Raw genomic sequence first — 22,266 nt, 5'->3', positions numbered from 1 at the left:
GTCAGATGTTGCTGGGATGTCAGCATAAAGTTGCGGAAAATGCCCATTGGACTTAGCAACAGGAAGGTCCCTAGTAACTTTGGTGAGATTTTAGAGGCACAGTGGAAGTGGTGTGGTGAGTTCAAAAGTGAACCAAAAGTGGAGAATTAGAGAAGGTATGAATGATTCTTGGAGAAATTTACTTATGAAGGGGAGAAGAGTGGGGTGGTAGCTAGTTGGAGGGGGCTGAGGAGTTAATGGAAATGTATGTACAGTCACGTGTTGCTTAACAATGGGGATATGTTCTAAGAAATGTGTTGTTAGGCAACTTTGTTGTTATGTCAATATAGGAGAGTACTACACAAACTTAGATGGTATAGCCTAGTACACACCTAGGCTGTATGGGATAGCCTATTGCTCCTAGGCTATACACCTGTACAGCACGTGACTGTTCTGAATACTGTAGGCAGTTGGAACACAATAGTAAGTATTGTGTATCGAAACGTATTTAAACATAGAAAGATACAGTAAAAATATATAATAGTGTAATCTCATGGGCTCGCTGTCATATAGGCAGTCCATTGTTGACTGAAATGTCATTATGTGGCACAATATGTGTATATAAGTGTGTGTGTGTGTGTGTGTGTGTATACATTGATCCTTGAACAACATGGGTTTGAACTGCTTGGGTCAACTTACGTGGATTTTTTTCAATCAAATGCAGGCCAAACATATAGTATTCGTGGGAATGTATTTATATGAGTATGAGAAGACAGGGTGAGATTACAATTATTGGCCCAAGAGGAGATGATAAATAATGGGTGTTCTCAGAGAATACGGGCAGGTAATCCAGAGCCCAAGGGAGGGAAGAGATACCTCTCTTCCACTGTAATGGGTGGGGTAGAGGGAAGGATCTGGGCAGGTCCAGGTAACTAAGAAACCAGGTAGCAGCAAGGTGAAGGATGTCTTACTATAAAGGCTTCCATTTTTTGTATGGAGTGGAGAGTCCCTGCAACGCAGTTAACAGCAGGAGATGATGAAGTTGGGCTTATCTTTGTGGAGAATAAGAGAGAGGGCGGAGTTGAAAACCAGCTGTGTGAACCCAGAGGCGGCTGAGTGTTTCACGGTAGCTCCAATCTGCAGGGGTGTGGTATTTCCCCAGGCACGCTTAGCACTTGGGAGCCAGATGCTTCTGTCCTGGGGTAGGGAGGGAACAGCTGGGCAAGAGAAGTGAGGATTTGGGCAAAAGATTGATTAAAATGATACTGACAAGTCCCTGTTGGGTAGGAGAAGCTGTGAACGCATATGGAAACTGGTAATTAGGAGGTAGAGGGATGAAAATGCTAACTCTTCAGGGAGGTAGGGGAAGAAGTAGTAAAGGAACTGAAGGTCAAGAAGTTGTGGTCAGAGAGAATCATAGATGAACATTATTTTGAAGGTGGAACAGTTTCAGGTGATTAGATCTAGGATATAGCCATTTGAGTAGGTGGCAGAGGTAGAGTGGATGTGAATTTCCATGGAGGTGAAATAGCAAGTTAAGGAACTGAGAGGCTAGAATGATGCATGAGTCCCCCATGCCAATGTTGAAATCATGCAGAATTGGAGCGAGAACTGGGCAAAAGAGAAGGACCGTGAACCCTGGCTGCCAGGTCTTCAGAAATAAAGGGGTTCAACCAGAGGATCTGCAGAGGCTAGCAATAAGATAGTCAAGGAGTCACTTGGCATATGGTTCTTACACAGAGATAGAGAAGAAATGCCTTAGAAGTGGAATTATTTGGAAAGAGAGACTAGGCCTTTTCCCTTCATCTTGGTATCCCCAATGCTTAGTACAAAACCTGGCACACAGCATGGTTCAATATGTTTTCATGAGATGAATGCATGAATGAAAGTAAACCAAGGCTTCCATTTCCTTATAGCCCGAAGTTATCATTTTTCAGCTATATAGTTGCCAAGTTTAACTGGTGTTTAAAGGGCTTTCCAGGTCGAGGGTTTCCTTAGGACCTGTTAATACGTCATAGCTGGGAAAAAGTAGTTTGGGATGGGATCGAGTCAGGGGGCTGAATAGAGAAAGTTTTCTTGCCTCTTTTTCTTCACCTGCCCCTGCCCCTGCCCCTGCCCCATCCCAGAGCTACTGCTTTCCTTTAATAAAGGAGTAATTAGGCACTGGTTATCATGAAGTGCTAGAGAATATTCCTGTGAGATCCTAAAAGTTCAGAAGCTAACCATTTGTTCCAGTTTATACTATGGAAAAAAAAAAAAAAGAAACCCAGAAATAGACCAGATGGAAAAACCTTATAATGACTGTTCCTTTCTATAATGTCCATTTTCACCCTGGATTTAGGCATTATTCGATTTTCCTGCTCAAAAAAAATTCCATTCACATATGTGTTTTATTGTCTGTCATTTCAACTTATAATTTCCAATAAACTTTGGGAAAATGGGGGAATTTCATAATATACAAAATTTTGTCCATTTGAGGTGATAACCTTGTAATAAAGGTAAGCTCCGAATGTAGAATAATTTCTTTAAATTTTCACTTTTAAATCAATTTGAAATTCTCTGCATTTCCTTTCTGAGCATGGCTTTTCTAATATGTGAAAAAGATTCAAGTATGCCAAAATTAAGGTGTATGTATCTAAATTAAGTATTGAATTCTCATTAATGCTAGGAGGGTGCCATATATAGTAAAACTATAGAATGAAGAGTTCACCCCATCCTTTTATTGAACATATGTGTGGTCACATTACTTACTTTCAATATATGATTTAAGAATTTTCTCCTAATTTTATATTTGCTTAGATTTAGCTTCCAGGCTTTTGTCATTTCTAAGCCTGCAAAGCCATGATAAAGAGCTATTGTCTGCGGTACAGGCAAATAAAACTTGCCCTGGCTAGCTTTCCCTACCAAAGGCCACTTCTACCAACTCTAACTTTAAGGAAAATTAATGATGTTATCTCAGTGATTTCCTGGTGCCAGTGAAGAGTTTGAATTACAGATGCCTTGGAAATATGCACTTCCACCTCTATTAAGCACTTGATCTTATTTTTTTTTCACTTCCCTATCAATGTTTCCGTATTGCAGAAAGCCAAATAACCCAATTGTATCCACTATAGAGAATTCACTATTTAAGTGGAGAGCATCACCGTTGGCCTATAATGTCCCCAGTTTGTAATCAGTTAAGTGTTGCATGACTCCTTACTGCCTCTCAACACATTGGAAATGAAAATGAAACTTGGTAGAAAAGCAGGAACAAAGATAAAATCTTGGTAAGAAGGATTTATAAACTGTTTCATATAGCTGATACTCCATTGAAAGTTATGAAGAAGGTAATTTAAGCATTTTCTTTCTCCCTTTGTAGTTCTGATGACATTCTACAGGTGTGAGGCTTCTAAAATTAAAAAGCCAACTTGTAAGAGCAGAAATAAAAACGCACTTAACAAAGCAAGTGTATTTAGTTTATTAATAATGTGTGGTGGGTTGGAGAGAGCCCAAACCATAGGGCTAAATATACTGCAGTTGATAAGTGTGACAAATATTCTGCAAACAGTAAGAAATAGAGAACATTTTGCCTCTATTCAGCAACTAAAGCACACATTATAGAGATTTGGTACAGGCTGGAGTTGTGTGAATAGTCACAGTTTCTGGACTCGCCCTCACCATGACAAACCAGGTGAAAAATGCACCGCCTTCTCTGTAAATGCACCTCACCTTTTGATGGTGCGCTAAGGGTGACATTAGATAGGCTTCAGTTGCTAAAGAAGACTCTCAGGACCCACAATAACATGGCTTACAAATCCGCGCTCTATTGCCAGAAAAGGCTACATTACAAGAGCATTACTGTCAGGATATGGATCCACAGCCACAGGCTGCCTCCACAGCAAGGGGGTCTCGAGAGGCCAGTGTAATTATTTTGCCACTGTCCTACAAAAATCTACTTTTTCTATATACCATGTATTATTTTTCACATAGGTTAGAGGCCATGTCTCTGTTAGTTCTGAGTTTAAGACGTCTTGAGGACATGGCCAAACTAATTTTCTCAGTTTATATGGTTTGACAGATATTAGTGCCCAAGAGAGGTCTCATAACATGACCCATCTATCTCCCAGGGGAAATACTGTAATCTTGTTTAGCTGTTACCCACTAGGGAAAGAATGGTTTTCTCTCAGTCAGATGCTAAAGAGATTAAAGAACACCTCGTAGGTTCCGTTTTCTAGTAATTATTGGTTCCATTCTCCAGCTATCAACCTTGGCAGCTTGCCATCCCTATCCTTCCTCCTGGAATTGGATGCCCTTGAAGTGCGCTTCTTGCACTAGGAAGTCTTTCTCGTCAGTTTATCATTTCTCATTCAAAGCAAATTCTACCTGGCCAGGTATCTCTAGCCCAGTTCCTAATTCTCCTAATAGAAGTTTCTTTTATTTCAAGTGGATTCATGCCCCTTGGCCCACCAGACATGTTGCCATTGAGAAATAGCAGCTTTAATGGGAAATACACATGAGACACAAAAATGTGACTAGGCTAAAATCATATGAATAGTAGTCACTCCTAAAAGGACTTTGGTTTGGGTATGTCACAGAAATTTCTGTAGCCATCCATATCCAATTTCTAGCTTTTCAGTCTCAGGAAAGTAGGCCCACCAAATTCAACTTAAATATCTGTCACTGATTCAAGCTGTCCCAATTGTCCCTCCACCCACTAATGGCTTTCCACACGGAGTAATGGGGCAAATAGCTATTTTTTTAAACACATAATGTTATGACAGATGAAACATACAGCACGTAAGCCTTCTATCACATGCCCAATACCTTTGTTAAACCTTCATCATCACAATTGATGGCCACACAGTGTTTATTGAGATTGTTATAAATCATTGTTCTTCAGATTTGACTGGGTAAATATTCCCTCAGGTTATTTCCTGACACAGCTGATTAATAACAGATATGTCCTGTGAAAGAAGAACCAAAAGACATTAACGAATACTAACCAAAAGCCACATTAATATTGCTCCATGGTGTTGTAGTCGCAGTTAGAACGCCCATCTCGTCATCCAGTGTGTTGGATAGGTTGGCTGACTCTCCCACTCACATCTTGGCTCTTTCAAGGAGGAGGAGGTTTTAGCAGAGTCCCCCACCCCAAGAGGCATCTGAGTCTAAGCCAAGGGAGCATATTATTCTCTTATTTTAAACCTCTCCGTAGGCAGCAACATTATATTAGGTTTTCCCTTTAAAAAAAAAAAAAAGTATCGGCTGGGCTCGGTGGCTCACGCCTGTAATCCCAGCACTTCGGGAGGCCGAGGCAGGCAGATCACGAGGTCAGGAGTTCGAGGCCATCCTGGCTAACACGGTGAAACCCCATCTCTACTAAAAATACAAAAAATTAGCCAGGCGTGATGGCGAGCGACTGTAGTCCCAGCTACTCGGGAGTCTGAGGCAGGAGAATGGCGTGAACCTGGGAGGCGGAGCTTGCAGCGAGCCGAGATCGCGCCACTGTCCTCCAGCCTGGGTGACAGAGCAAGACTCGGTCTCAAAAAAAAAAAAAAAAAAAAAAGAAAAAAGAAATAAAAAAGTATCTTTGGTGGTTTCCTTCCCCTTGCAACAATCTCACCTTTTTCCTTTTATCATTAATTTTAAGCCAAACCTCTTCCCCAGCTACACACACACACCACACAATGCAGACAGTCCCCAACTTGTGAAGTTTCAACTTAACAATTTTTTGATTTCACAGTGATGCAAAGTGATATGCATTCAATAGAAACTCTACTTCTAGATTTGAATTTTGATCTTTTCCAAGGCTAGTAATATGCGGTATGATACTCTCTCCCCTTGCTGGGCAGCAGCACTGAACCTCAGCTCCCAGTCAGCCACAAGATCATGAGGCTAAACAACTGACACTTTACTGTGTAAGGTGTTGCTAGACAGTTTTGCCCAACTGTAGGCCGATGTAAGTGTTGGGAGCACATTGAAGGTAGGCTAGGCTAAGCTGTGAGTTTCAGTTAGTTAGGTGTATTAAATGCATTTGTGACTTAAGATATTTTCAACCTATGATGGGGTTGTGTGATAGCTTCAATTAGGCAAGGCACAAGGAAGGAGTAATCCATTCCATTGATCCTTGTGGAATGCTTGTGCTTAAGTACCAACTAATAGCCATAGTATCTTATTTTGGAATATTACCAGCCTTTGAAACTCTTAATTGTAGCCCCAGTTCAGGGACTACTAGGTCTGGCATCAAAAAAGAAACCTGTAGTGACATAGGGAATACCTGTAAGTGCCCCACTTGAATTATCTTTTTAATTGTAACTGGTCTCACAGGTGTAGCCCATTTCTCAAAAATGATAGTTGCTTCAGCTTTTTGGTTGGGACTCCACCTGCAGGCCAGAGAGGGTGAAGCCCAGTGGAAAGAAATTCTGAACTTAACATTAGCTTTTGGATTTTTTTTTAGCAGCCTTGCCATCAGTTTGCAATTGCCTCCTAATCCATTTTGTTAGCTCCTTAGGTTCAAGTTCTCTCACTTCCAGATTCCACTAGAAAGTTACACCATCAGTAACCAATTTCAAAGCCTGTGTTACTTTTCAACCAAGCGTAGCTTGTTGAGCAACTTCAAAGGTTCTTTTTCATCCCTTTTATCAGAATCTTCTTTTTTTCTTTCTAAATAATGCCTCAGTCATACTTTTAGCTAAGAATGAGTTGGAGGTGTTCTAAACAATCTTGCTTCTGACACTCACTGCCCTGACAGTGGAAGTTAAACAGGGTTCAATTGCTAAAGAGGACTCACAGGAACCAAATGACAGTGCTTACGAATCTAGAGTTCCTTGCAGAAAAAGGATGCAATATACCCACAACATTAAAACAAGAATAAGTGTCACAGCCACAGCCTGCCTCACAGCATAGGGTCCAGAGAGGACAGGTGCAAGCTATAATTGCCCTCTGTCTGCAAGAGCCACACCACGATGCATTTTCTCTCTTGGAACAAGAGCTACTGATGTGAGCACAGAACACCTTGGAAACCAGGGAGCACAAATTGGAGTTTCAGCCAGGGTTTCTTATATCCCGTGGGTAACCTAGGCATACTGTTCCTATGTAACCAGCCTCAAACTCAGTGGCTTCCGTTGGTCTGACTGTGCCCGGGTAAAAATGGTCAATGTTACTGTTAGCAATAAACAATGGTGATAACCTGCAACCCATGGCTACACTTCAACACAGTAAGTCACTTTGAAAAGCAAGTGCTTTGACCAGGGCTCTGCACTGTGTAGATATTTTAGCAAGTCATCTCGTGCCAACTCCAGCCTCTCTGGAATTAACCCTTACTGCACAGACAACTACATCAAAGTGCATTGACTTTCTTGAAGTGCAAAGATTTGCTTGGGAGGTCCCTCAGCCATAAGTGTAAGTTGCCTGTAGAGTGGCATGCCTGGGCAAGAAAAATCAGCAAACATACAGCAGTTCTTCCACCATTACTCACCTCTTTCTGTTTCTGTGCTAATTAGATCACAGAATTATTTATACATCAACATAGAATATACAGATTGACCTATAGGATGAACTTGGGGTTATATGGGCACCATGAGACTTTTTTTTTCTCCACTAACCAACTTTTTGGTGCTTCTGTTTTATCCTACTGTTGTCATTAGCATGGAATGCAGAATGGTTTTCCTGTTCTGTAAAGTCAGTAAGGACACCTTCTGCCACCCACTTTTCCCCCTTACAATATGTACCTCCATGAGAAATCAGAAAACCTAGATATCCTGCCATAACACCCAGAGTGAGTCTCCATATCTCTGGTCTCAGTTGTCTCAACTGCAAAATGATTTTAAAGCAACCTTCTGGCTCTAAGAGTCTATCACTCTGTAAAAGACAAAAAAAATCTGTCTTACATAGGAAGGAATAGCAAGAGTTAGCTACTGTGGCATACATAGAAAGGAAAAGAATGAGCTTTTGAAGCTAGAAGGTTGAGAAGATGATTAGGCACAACCAGAGCCTCAGGAACCATTAGTGGGATCCCTGTGTTGAAGTCCTGCCTGCTCGCCGCCCCCCAACCGCCACTGTCTGCTTTTCCTGCACAGCAAAGAGGATCCTGGAGAGTCAGCCATTTCTTTTATCCTGTCCCCACCCTCTCTCACCCCCACAGCCCTCATGCATAGGGTACCACCACATGGTCCCTGTTCTTCAATGGCTTCAAAGCCTATAGCATCCTCTACTGTAAACATAATTTAGAAAGTGAAGATGTATTAGAATACTTGGGTTTTTATGTAGCTTTAAAGATATATCTACTAGTGAATACACACAAACACACACACACACACACACACATACACACACACATATATATATATATATATATAATATATTTAATGGAAATTCCTAGCTTAAGGAAACAATGGTTTCACACAACTGTATCTGCTGGTTGCTTATTGAGGGTCCTAGAAAGAGCTAATCATTACATTTAATGTTTCATCAAAAAGTCTAGGTGTGTTCTCTAAGATGCTCATTTTGAAAAGCATATGCATGGCAATTAAATTGTCCCTATTGATATTCTCACCTCCTTTTCGGGTCCATAGCATGGATTGTGTATACCTAAATGGAAATTTTTTCAAAATAGCTCCATGAAAGTTGAATTCTGTTTGACATGTTTGTTTAGGGAAATGTGCTCTTCAGTCTTCTGTGATGGATTGTTCTTGTGTTTAACCACATCCAGTTTTAGCAGAGCACACTGCACAGTATTTCTCTCCTAACTGTGTCATCTTCTGCTCCTGTAATTTCAGAGCAATTGCTTTGCTCCCCTCTGGAGCTATTTCTACTCAACATTTGCTGTTCTATGTGTTACCCATTCACCTGTACAGAGATAAGAGCAGGCCCCATAAAATGAAATGCATGCAGTTTTTCTCTGTTCATTTCCATCACACGGCTAAATAAGACTCTTAATACAAAAGTGATTCGAAAAATTTTCACTAGTTACTTCTTAAATGCCTGGATCAGAGGCAAAATATTTATGATGACTAAAGCAGAGTAACAAAAAAGAAAATAATTGAAAAACTTCAAACCACCCATAGCTTCCTTCAGTATATAAGGAAACATGTTGGGAATATTGGTGTTTGGAAGAAATCCATTCCTCTCTTCCAGTAATGGAGCTGGCATACCGTGTTTCTAAGTGTTCCTACTACGTGCACTTGAGTATGTGCCCTCTGAGGAAAACAAGCACACAGAAGAGAGAGAGAAGAAAAGTTTGAGTCTTTTGTCTCTGGACCTCGCTCCAGCCTCCCACGCAGTCTTCTTTCAGCCATTCCCTCCTCACGTCCTCCCGTCCTCCTGCCTCCTTGCATTGCTTTTTAAAATTCTTTATTATTTTTCTCACTTGATTCTTCAGATAAGTCTCCCAAGTTATCTTCCTTCCTCCCACTTTAAAGAAAGTCTCAGCTTCCATGAAAAGGGTCATTTCTCTATCTTTAGAGTATTTCAGAGCAAAAACAGAGGGGCCTTCCCTTCCAAGGGAGGAGTGCAGACTCCTGCTTCCACCACCATGTCTGTTTCATGCTTCTGGGGAAACTCCAGGATTTTCTGTTTTCCTTTTTTTAAAAGAGAAAAATGTGTGCGCAATATAGGTGGAAAAGTATTTTTGCACAAACCTACATAGGTATTAACCACTATTTTTGTTTTTTTCTTAATATTTAATTAGAACTGGCCATGAATAACTTGTAAAATATACTAAAGCCTTAAGTTTGCATTTCTTTATTACTGGGAAAGGTGTTTACTGAGCGGGATTTACCTCTATTTATGTGAACTACATTTATAATTGAATTGCCCCTTCCCCCTAGATGCATGAGAGATTTACTTAATTAGCATTGATTCCTTGCCTCAAAGGACTGAGAATTCCAACCAGAGCTTAGGTGTATAAGGTAGTATAAAAGCAATGTTGTTGTGTTTCTAGTTTGGCTAATAAATTGGCTTTAGAGAAATGCATCTTTTCATGACACTTGGGAATAAAGCTTGTGATTTGCTGATGTTGGACAAGGTTGAAGTTTCACTTTTGTTAAATTTTTGTCCCCAGCATAAGATTAAACACCTCCTCAGATCAAGGGAATTTTCCTCCCTCAGCCTTATAAAGTTGTTAGAGGACTTAGAAAGAATATTATGAAATACAATTTGAAGGTGAAAGGAGAAATAAGCGAGCCTCAGGTCTGAAAACTGGATAGATTATGCAATTACTTTAGTTTGCCTATAGAAAATTTTAGTGGAGAGTATTTTTTTCACCTAATATTAGGGTAGCAGAGAGATGCTGAGGTGACTGATATTTCAAGGAGAAAAGCGCTTAATGATTATAAATGCATAGCTAGAAATAGAGTTTACACAACCTTAGCCATACAGATTAATCTAACAGATCTTCTCTAATGCTAATACAAGAAAGTATCATCGGATCTCTTTAAAAATTTCTGCTAAAACATTTTTTTTTTCTTATTCAGGTGACAATTGACTCTGTTTATGTAGAACAGGCTAGGTCCCCTTAACTCTCAGATATTCCCCAGTAATCCAAGGATGGGAATTATATCTTTGCCCATATCTTCACCCAATGCCAGTGAGATTTAAGAACAACTTCAGATCCTGAATACTGATCAAACTCATCAACTTAGAGTCGAGGCATAAAAATAAAACACCTTTCAAAGAGAGTGTGGTTCACGTTTGGTGTTTATTAAAGGGTATGAGAGAGTCCTAGCTAGGATTCTCAGAGGAAAAAGGACACTGAAAGGAAGGTTTTACTCTTTGAGTCATTTGTGATTTTATTTGTTTTTTGCAGTGGATCTCTTGAGCCTGTCAGCTGCATGTGATGCCTTGGACCAGCACAACCTCAAGCAAAATGACCAGCCCATGGATATCCTGCAGATTATTAATTGTTTGACCACTATTTATGACCGCCTGGAGCAAGAGCACAACAATTTGGTCAACGTCCCTCTCTGCGTGGATATGTGTCTGAACTGGCTGCTGAATGTTTATGATACGTACGTATGGCATGTTTTTATTTCCCGGGCTCTGTCACAGGAGGCTTAGCGTACAGAATGGTGAAGTGTAATTAGCATTACAACAGGGCCCTGGAAGCTGTGGACCTAATGCTCTTCCTGTGATAAATCATTTTTGCATTTATGACTTGAAAAATATTTTGATAAGCTAGGAGTTAAGAGCCAGAATGTAGATTGCTCTCAGATTAGAAAACAAACAAAACCCTGAGACACTCATTTTGCAAATAGTGGAATGAGTCGACATATAGCCTTTGGTTCTTTCCCTTTCTCGCCCATGGATTTTGGAATTCTTCCATGCACTTCAGGGGTGGCTTCCTCTCACTGGCGGCCATGGCTGTGCTCCTGGAGATACTGGCACACCTGTCTCCAGATCAGAATGGTCTTAGCTGATACTTAGGACACTTTTGCAGAAGATTATGAATTGATAGGCCAAACAAAATGAAAACAAGCCCTTAATACAGCAAACTTAGCTTCTCAAACTGAGAACATTTTTCGTTTTCTTTTGTTTTTTAATAAGATTTTATGAAGTTTCAGTTTGGCGCCTCCATTCATCACTCTCTCTTAGAGAACAATTGTTTGTTTTGGATTGCACACAAGGGAGATATCCCCAGTTCTGATTTTTTTTTTTCTTGAGCTTAATGAAGACAATTGAAGAAGGGAGCAGAAGGAATTGGTCTTAATTTTGCCTAAATTCTTCTTAGATCTCAAAATTATTACATGCCTCATTTCACCAATCAAGAACATACTCCCATTTGGAAATCTGGGAAGGTTTTCTGAAAAGAGTTGCAAAACAACTGTTTTGCCTTTTACCTTTGTTGTAGACTTCTACTACCTTTTGAACTAAAATTTATACCTTTTTTTCTTTCTTATTTTGATAAGGTATTGCTTTTTAAAATTTCAGGACCACCTGACTATTACATTCATCATAGTCATCTACCAAGTCCTTGAACATGTCGGATTTCAATTGTGAACTACGTTCACATTAGTTTTGATAAGAGTTTGTATTCAGGTTTCCCCTCAAATATATTTTGGCACTGTTTTCTTTGCAGATGACATGTGAATGCATTCTGAATGTATAACTTCCTTCTACCTGACTGAAAAGTATTTGGTGACAATTTTAACTCCTTGAAGACCTGAGTTGCTGTATAAAGTGGATTTGTTAAATTTTGATCTACCTTTTCTTAAGAGGGAGAAAGATAAGAAAATTTTCCAGTGATAGGAATTTGTTTAGTCCATTAGTGCCCAGGATTTCTTTTTGACTGAGGGATTTAATAAATTTTAGTAGCTGGAAGTTGAGCATATTGTTCACCGAAAATAACCGCCATTGGGACCTATCCTTTGTGATTTTGAAGTGCTAATAGGCGAATTATTCTGAAATATTTTCTCCTTTTTCTTTTTACCAATATCTAAGGGCCAGTAGCTTTCCGTAATAAAATAAGAAGCCAAAAAACTATTGAAAGACACTTTTTAACTTTAATTTTAGGTTTCGGGGTATTATGTGAAGGTCTGTTACATAGGTAAACTCACGTCACGGGGGTTTGTTGTACAGATTATTTCATCACTCAGGTATTAACCCATTTATGCCTAGTGTTCCATTATTGGAACACTAAGCTTGTGGGAATTATTCCTATCCTACTGCTCAAGGTCATCGCCAAGGTCTGATTTTCACAAAAAGTAATATGCAGCCTCCAGCATAAATGGGTTAAGCGCAGTACCCAACAGTTGTCTTTTCTGCTCCTCTCCCTCCTTCCACCCTCCACCCTCAAGACCCCAGTATCTGTTGTTCCCTTGTGTTCGTGAGCTCTCATCATTTAGCTTCCACTTAGAAGTGAGAACATGCAGTATTTACTTTTCTGTTTCTGCATTAGTTTGCTAAGGATAATAGTCTCCAGCTAATCCGTGTTCAAAAGACATGATCTCATTCTTTTTTATAGCTGCATGGTATTCCATAGTGTATATGTACCATATTTCTCATTGATGGGCATTCATATTGATTCCATGTCTTGAAAGACATTTTCTACAAAATGGAAAACTTTTCATTCTTATTTTTCCTTTTTTTCCCCCATGGATAAAATTAGCTTATTAATAAATTTGTTATGTGAAATGCTTTATTTCAGTTTTCTATATGCAAATATAGAAAATGCTATGCAAATAAAAGCAATCTATATTAAAACACTGATATAGCAACAGGTTATTTATAAATTTATTTTTTAGATCATATATTTGAATGTTGTTTAATAGAGTATGATATTTTTCTTACGGAGATAAACATTTATATTCTATATTATGTGTTATGTGGCCTGAAGTAATTAATTTTCTTTCAATAAGGGGCAATCTGATGAAGATCTGAGCATTTAAGAGGGCTGAGCAGTTAGTTGCTGGTAATTTTTTTGGCTTCCATGACCAAAGTAGGTAATTTGCTTTAGTAACCAAAGTAGATTGGTGAAGATTAGTAATTCTTCTGCTTACCAACTTAAACCAAGGTGGCTTTCCATAGGTGAATAGAATTTTTTTTTCTTAATTTATGTAGAACTTTTGCAGTTCAAATAAGGGTTTTTAGGAATTGAAACTTGGTAAACATTCAGTGGTCAAGTTGGTTGAATTTCCATTGCATTGTAGGTCATCAGTCAAAGAGATAATGAATTTGGAAAAGTTCAAAACAATCTTAATAAAACAGTGGTCAATAGAGTTCACACATCATTGAGCACTTTACTCCTTTATTTTTCCTTTTCAAGGCTTTATTCTTAACTAGAAGTGTTTACCCTCTAGGAAAGGGTCAGTAATTGTTTTCTGCTTTGATTCTTCATAATAGGGGACGAACAGGGAGGATCCGTGTCCTGTCTTTTAAAACTGGCATCATTTCCCTGTGTAAAGCACATTTGGAAGACAAGTACAGATGTAAGTCGTGTATATTAATGCTGTATTCTTTTATTAATGTTGGCTAATTACCCTAGTTCTAGATGGGAAATGACAGACTGTTCTTATTTGACAGCAGATTCCTCATGTAAGATGTAGAACTGCTTTTAGAGTGTCATAAAATTTGGTTTGTGCCATTCCTTGTCAAACATTAAATTGCAGGCATTTAAGTAGAGAATGAGGATTAGCTTTTCCAGTCCAGGTATTATTTTACATTACATTGACTGTGTCTGAATAAAACACATGTTCCTAGGGGATAAAGTCTGATTTTCTAACCTCTTTCTGTAAGTCGGAAAAATAAGTGTGAAGATTTAATCTCTGCACTTGTCTAGTCTTTGGGTTCTTATTTAAAGAATACCATGTGACATTCATGTTCAAGAAACATTGTTTATTTTATAATCATCTTACTGCAAGTTGTACTGACACATCCAATTCCGTGACGTGACTAACATTTTATTATTTGAGAGACAGATAGCTTGCTGTTTCTTAAAGGATAGATACGTACCACCCTACAGAATTTCCTTTTGATTACGCATTGGGTTCTTCTGCTTAAAAACTGTAAAACCAAATTAAAAGCCAATGCTAGAGGAGTGATGGTTCAGATGACCAAGTGACCATCCATTCATATTGTGAAAGGCTGCAGTTGGTTTTCCCCTTGAAATGCTTATAAGCAATCTTTTCAGTAGGAATATTAAACAAATTCAGCCTAGCTTGTCTTTTCTCTCTTCCCCTGAGGCCTAGCCACACATGTGAGGAGATGTGCTAAGCTTCAGGACAGGCAGGAGATAAAAGCCACTCTGTCTCCTACTGATCATTTCTCCTTCAGGAGTAAGCCACAAAATACACAAACCATTTTGGCCCTCACTTTTATGTAGTTTCCACTTGAGTTTTCTCATCCTCAGAACGAGAGAAAAATAACTGAACAGCTTTTGTTAACCATTTTAAAATGTATTTCGGATGAGATGGGATACCTGTGTGCTTTTCTCCTTTAAATATTGTAGTTACTTAGTATAGGTTAGGTTCTAATCTACCGTATATATGGTATAGTGACAGCACATTGTAAATATAATATTAAATTGAATAATTGAGGAAGCTTTGAGTTGGTGTTTCGAATAACTACTAAGAGGGAACATGTTTTTAGGTTGGTGAAACAAAAATATTAAATGCAAAATGAGATGTTTGAAAGTAACTCATAACTTTGAAAATAAACACCTAGGTATGTATATCGGAGAGCAGATAAAAAGCTGTGCGTACAATCTCAATTTTTAGTGCCATCTTAGGTATCCTGTTAAAACATTTAATTTCCTAGAGTTTAAAGTGTGCTTATGGGTACAGAAAGCTTTCTTGGATTTACTTTTTTTGAGGGGCAACTTCTAGGTGAATATAAGGTATGATTAAAATTTTATATCTGAGAACAAAACATAACATTGCAAGCATTCAGTATGTTCATTCATTCTGTTACATATATTGGGCACCTACTATCCACCGGGTACTGCCATTCTACTGTAGATACTTCTGGCACACAACTGACCAAGATATGGTTCCTTCCCTCAAGGGGATATAAGTCTCCTGCCAAAAACGATAGACACATATTGAATCAATGCCAGCATAACATGATGTGAGCTATTAATTAGAAATACGCAGCCAGGCGCAGTAGCTCACACCTGTAATCCCAGCACTTAGGGAGGCCGAGGTAGGAGGATCACTTGAGGTCAGGAGTTCAAGACCAGCCTGGCCATCATGGTGAAACACGTCTCCAGTAAAAATACAAAAATTAGCTGGGTGTGATGGCATGTGCCTGTAATCGCAGCTACTCAGGCGGCTGAGGCAGGAGAATGGCTTGAACCCGGGAGGCAGAGGTTGCGGTGAGCAGAGATCGCACCACTGCACTGCAGCCTGGGCGACAGAGCAAGACTCCGTCTCAAAAAACAACAACAACAACAACAAACTATGCACAGTATCCTGTGGGAACACATACATGATGGACTAGAAGCTCAGTGATCTTATGACTCCATAAAGAAGTCCCAACTGTGGTACATTTTTGAATCTCTGGTGTCCAAGGAGGGTGGTGCTTTGGGCCAGTTATATGTCTCTTAATGCTAAAACACTTATTTTTTGATGTAGTTACATCCTATATACAATAATTCCCAAGGATTATGTTCTGGCTTAGAAGAAATTTAAGTGTCGAGGGTACGTGTAAGCTTGCGCTTCTTGCAGTGACACAGTTTATGTAAAAGTTATCACACTTCATATATATACAGTGATCATTAACTTGATTCATAAAAATAATAAATATCCAGATTAGCACAAATTAGAAGTAACCCCACTCTGTGGAAATACTGGCTACTCTTGAGAATTGCTACTGGAATTGAGTTGGATGTCAGGTTCTGCTGGCATCCATGGGTGCTGTGTTTTGACTGTTGCAATTTTCTTCTTCCTTTGTAGACCTTTTCAAGCAAGTGGCAAGTTCAACAGGATTTTGTGACCAGCGCAGGCTGGGCCTCCTTCTGCATGATTCTATCCAAATTCCAAGACAGTTGGGTGAAGTTGCATCCTTTGGGGGCAGTAACATTGAGCCAAGTGTCCGGAGCTGCTTCCAATTTGTAAGTTATTCACCTTCTAGGTAACATATTTATTCTTTCATATTTTAGAAATTAATTAAAAAACCCACAGAGCTTCGTTTTCTCATATTAGCTCTTCAGTAGGCAGTAGGTATGGGATTTGGGATATTTGGAACCTCTGTAAGTAAGCAGCTTCTGGAACTCTAGGTTTTGGGAAAGAAGACAGTGCTGAGGAAGGAAAAGAAATCTCCATCTGCAGCAGGGACCCCACAGTTATTGAGGTGCTAGAGGGGAAGAAGTTCAGCAAGGGAGGAAATAAGTCTCTAGCCACAGAAATCCTATGTATATAAGAAAATGGCCTTTGTAGGCGAGTCTCTTAGTCTCTGAGTCCTTTCTCTAATTCTATCATTATAGCCTCCTTTCAATGGCTGTTGGTAAATTGTTAGCACAGCTGTCCTTTTTTTTAAAACTGTCCTTTGTAGCTTTGACATTCCCCTATTATTCCAAAGTCTAGAGGTGTATACTCTCTGCTAATGTCCATCACTGACTGAACACACTCTTGTCCGTTCTCTTTCCTATCCTGTCCCATTGCTTTTTCTCTGTCGTAGTCAGTGCCCCAGAAACACCCTCTTCTTCCCAAATGCCTGAGCACTCCACTGGTAGACATTCATCTTGTTCTAATTTTTTTTTCTCTTTCCTTTTTTTTTTTTTTTTCTTTTTTGAGTTGCAGTCTCGCTCTGTCACCCAGGCTGGAGTGCAGTGGTGAGATCTCTGCTCACTGCAACCTCCACCTCCCGGGTTCAAGTGATTCTGCTACCTCAGCCTCCCGAGTAGCTGGGATTACAGGCGCCCACCGCCACCCCAAGCTAATTTTTGTATTTTTAGTAGAGACAGGGTTTCACCAGGTTGGCCAGGCTGGTCTCAAACTCCTGACCTCAGGTGATCCACCTGCCTCGAACTCCCAAAGTGCTCGGATTACAGGCGTAAGCCACCGTGCCTGGCCTCTAATTTTTATTAGGTAGATAGTGCTACAATGAACATCCTTATCGTTTAGCTTTTGTCTTTGAAGCTTTCTTTATAGGATCAATTCTCAGGCGTGTGATTGCCAGACAAAATAATATAAACATTTTTTGTGGCCTTTCTTCAAAAGTTGTTCTAATTGTAACGCTATCAGTATTGAAGGAGTAAGATGCTTTCGGTATCACATTATTCACAGTGTTCTTATGTTTTTGTTTTTGGTTTTTTCAAGTGCTAAGAGCTGTTTTTCTTATGTAGGGTTTCTCAATCCATTCTAATTCTATTAACAATGGCTGAGATTTACAAAATGGAACTAGCTGTAGAACTAACTGGGTTATATCTGAAGTCTTTGACCACAGACTAGGATGAAACTATAGAAGGTTTCCTGGGCAGATCACTGTGAATATTTAGGTGTTTAAAGCAGTTTGAGTATTTATTTAATAGTTAGTTGGATAGATTTACCGGATGCACACATAATAAGTTCATTTATGTAAAGTGGGATATACTGTTTGAATTATTTTGCCAAAATTATGGCAAATTAGTTGTAAATGTAAAATGCATGTGGAGAAATAAATATCTTTTCCTCCTCATACCCAAACCTTCCAAAATGCAGATAGATGATCAATCCAATCAATCATCAAAATGTAGACACAAGTAACTTCCATACAATGAATATTAATGGCCACAGGCAATCTAGGTTCATTTTGATTTTTTAAAATCCAATTATAAAACAACTTGCCATAAACGCGAGTTATTTCCTAATCTTTTGGTTGTGTGTTTTTTTTGTTTTGTTTTGTTTTGAGATGGAGTCTCCCTCTGTCGCCCAGGCTGGAGTGCAATGGCGCGATCTCGGCTCACTGCAACCTCCGCCTCCCTGGTTCAAGCAATTGTCATGCCTCAGCCTCCCGAGTAGCTGGGATTACAGGGTGCCTGCCACCATGCCTGGCTAATTTTTTGTGGAGACAGGGTTTCACCATGTTGGCCAGGCTGAGCTCAAACTCCTGATCTCAAGCAATCCACCTGCCTCGGCCTCCCAAAGTGCTGGGATTACAGGTCCTAATCATTTTTCCCCTTTAGTCAAGTCTCAGTTACTCTTTGAGTTCTAGTGAAACACACACACGTGTTCATATATAGGGATATATAAACATATGTGTGTGCATTGTGACTTGGGTTAAAGGTAAGGCTCAGTGATGGTCCCTGCTGCAAAGTAAACTAGGCTGTATTCAGGGCCAGCTGGATTCTTTGTTTTCTCGCCCGAGTACTGACTCATCAGGAAGCCACCACCATCCTCACTGCAGCCTCTGGCCCTCTTGGATTTGGTTGTCAGGATAAGCGGTGGCCATACAGAAGCTCTGCTTTCCCTGGGCTGCCCCCCTTATCAGGAGACCAACCTATTCCATTTCTGCCTGCTACATCCTTTTGCTGGATAACCTCCTACTCCCCTAAGCCCATGTCTCTGGTTTGGTTACATTTCTGTCTCTGTAATAACAACTCTGTATTCTCAGTCTCAAAGCTTTGAATTCAGTCCATCCTTGCATATTTGTTGAATGCCTCCTGGTTGGCCAGCCAGTCTCCAAGCTCTTTGAAATGTGAAATGTGTTTTGTTTTGTTTTCAGAAGGGGTCTAACTTCGTCACCCAGGCTGGAGTGCAGTGGCACGATCACAGCTCATTGCAGCCTCGACCTCTGGGCTCAAGTGATCCTCCCACCTCAGCCTCCTGAGTAGCTGGGACTACAGGCATGGACCGCCACGCCTGGCATTTTTTTGGTGTATGTGTGTGTGTGTGCGTGTGTGTGTGTGTGTGTGTGTGTGTGTGTGTGTGTGTGTACAGGGTCTCTCGCCATGTTGCCTAGGCTGGTCTCGAGCTCTTGGGCTCAAGCTGTCCACCCACCTCAGCCTCCCAAAATGTTGGGAGTACAGGCGTGAGCCACGGCATCCAGCCTTGAAATGTTTTCTATGAGACTGGGGGGAAATCAGTCAAGATATGAATGGTGGTAACAGGTGGCTTTTGATTTTCTCTGTACTATTTTTATTTTCTGAGTTTTCTTCTTTGAACATTTATAATTAGAAAAAAAATTAGTAAAGTGCTGCCTCTTTTTTTAGGGAAAGAAACATGTTTTGTTTGATTGCTTTCCATTGCCATTCTTACATTGTTTCCAGGCCTTCTCATCATTGCACTGGCTTCCTAGCAAGCCTCCACTTCACACTCCAGTCCTTTTCATTGGTCTTATTGCCCTCATACTAGTTTTAGAGAAAAGCATTTCCCATATGATGCCGTCCTTGAAAATGTCAGTATCTTTCTGTTGTCTAGTGAACAAATCCTAATTCCTCTATTTAACTCTCAGACCTTTCCTACTCTGGTTTCATAACCACCCATAGTTTGCTTTCACTATCATGAAACAGCTTCTCCTTACCATTTGTACCTATTATGCTTATAAATAATATTGTTACCATTGCTACTAACAAAACTTTGTTCACATGAATTCTCTCATTTAATCCTCACCAAGTCTTTGAGGGGAACAGAATAGTCAGGCTTTGGAGATTTTGCTTTTATTATTGTTTAAGTGGATGAATAATTTATTTGCGCCCTTAAAGTCCCTCAGCTGGTGGAAGGGTTTGATTCCTAGTCCAGTATGCCCACCGCCACATTTACTACCTCATTCCCAAATATGTAGTTTCTGATACTTCTGCTCTCCAGCTTCCCAAGGCCAAACAACAGCTACTTTTCCTGAGTCCTGGATAGAATAAGAAAAGGTATAACAAGACAGGGGACCCTTGAGGGGGAAGAGGAATTAGTTTGAAGTGCTGGCAAATGTAGTATTTCTAATCAGATGCTAGTAAATTCCATATGTATGGCGAGGCTTTCATTACTTAGATTTGGGGAGCCTCTCAGCGTTTTAGCAATTTGCAATCAGGTTGAATGGATCCATTGTAAATACTTAGGAATACTTAGGAATCCACGTCCTGGCCCTGGCATGCTTTTCCTCGGCCAGGTGCACTGGCGGTCACCTTGCCTTTCATTGTGCCACGTGCATAAAAATACAATGTTTGCTGTAGGGAAAGATAACAGGAGTGAAAATGTCCTCTGCCCTTTGTTTGAAGTATAGGACCTTCAGAATGAGGCTGGGCTGGTTCCTTCAGCAAGCTTGTGCTCAAAGGCTGCTATTTCTACCAGCCTGAGGTAAACGGTAATAAAGTACTTGTTTATCCTACAAGTGCATTCCTTGCATTGCAGATTTGATTTCCTTTGATTTCTTGTCACCACCTGGAAACCTTACTTTGTTTCAGGTTGGTACAGTTAGAAAGGTACTGAATCTTCTGATTCAGACAAGGGCCCAGTAGTGGCAAGAAGAGAGGTACGTGTTTGTGTGCCACACTCTCTGGATTATCTATTAAAGGTTTTCTCATATCCCTCCCCACTAACCACTTAGAAAAGGAAATCACCTATCAGGTCTAAATGTAAAATTTTGCTTATTTAAAAATCACTATAGGTCTTCCAAGGAATTATCCATTAAGCCAGGAAATGAAGTCACATCCATGGATATGAAAAAGGAATAGTCACTGTAAATTTATGGCTTTGACAGTGGTATCTTCGTAGATACTAAATGAGGCAACAGGATATGTTTCCACATTAATAGCATATTGCAGTCAACACATTTACTGGGAAATTGACTCATTTTGGTAGTGATAGAAGTAAAGTTTTGCAACGAGTTTAAGAGATACAGCTGTAATTAATATATTGCCAGCTTGTTCCTTTCTCATATTCCATGGAAACAGCCCTGTTGAGAGATTAGATTGATTTTTACGACCTTAGTAAGGCCAAGCCTGCCCTGGCAGTGAGTCACATAGACTGCCTGAAGGAACCTTGAGGATTTTCTGCACCTCTCCTTTTTCAGATGAGAAAACAGGCCCACAGTGGCACAATGAATCTAGTCTACATCGTGCAATTTACATCATGTTATGGCTTCAACCAGTTCGGAGACTAGATTGAAATGACAGAGTGTTAATGTGTCAATGTGATCCCCTATATGAATTTTAGATTGTAATAGAATGAGATAGATAAATAAACACCCCTCCCCCAAAACACATACATGCACACACACCCATCTTTATTGAAAATACTCTAATCCCAACATAGCTGTTTAGTCTATCTTCAGATAAAACCAAGTATCACTTTTAGGTGGGAAAACTATACAGTCATGTGCTGAAGAATGACGTTTTGGTCAATGACAGGCCATATATACTATGGTGGTCCCATAAGATCAACGTAAGAAGAGATTATAATGGAACTGAAAAATTCGCATTACTTTGTGACACTGTAGCCATTGTAACATCATAGCACGAAGAATTATTTCACAAACCTGCACTGCCAGTCATTTAACAGGTAAAAAAGTATGTTTTAAAATATTTTTAATTATTATGGACACATAATAGTACTCATTTATGGGTTACATGTGATATTTTGATACAAGCATACAATGTGTAGGGTAACACAATCAGAGTAATTGGGGTGTCCATCATCTCAAACATTCATCATTTCTCTGGTAGGAACATTCCCATTTCACTCTTTTAGTTATTTTGAAATATACAATAAATTATTGTTGCCATGCATGGTAGCACGCACCTGTAGGACCAGCGTTTCAGGAGGCTGAGGTGGGAGGATCACTTGCGCCCAGGAATTCAAGGCTGTAATGCACAACAATTGCACCTGTGAATAGTCACTACACTCCAACATGGACAGCATAGTGAGACCCTATCTGTAAAAAGATTTAAAAATATATTGATTACTA

At 39.7% G+C, this 22,266-nt stretch overlaps 1 protein-coding gene across 26 annotated transcripts in view; it reads left to right on the top strand.

The window, feature by feature from the left end:
- Positions 1 to 22,266, top strand: part of DMD (dystrophin) — a 2,220,167-nt gene that overhangs the window by 2,118,927 nt on the left and 78,974 nt on the right. For all 26 annotated transcript variants that reach the window (XM_006724469.4, NM_000109.4, XM_011545467.2 and 23 more), the window contains 3 exon segments: positions 10,763 to 10,964; positions 13,795 to 13,880; positions 16,344 to 16,501. In XM_006724469.4, coding sequence (XP_006724532.1) covers positions 10,763 to 10,964; positions 13,795 to 13,880; positions 16,344 to 16,501 — 446 coding nt within the window.

The sequence above is a fragment of the Homo sapiens genome, chromosome X (genome assembly GCF_000001405.40).
Source record: "Homo sapiens chromosome X, GRCh38.p14 Primary Assembly".
NCBI lineage: Eukaryota > Metazoa > Chordata > Mammalia > Primates > Hominidae > Homo > Homo sapiens.
This window is presented reverse-complemented; position numbering and strand designations above follow the sequence as displayed.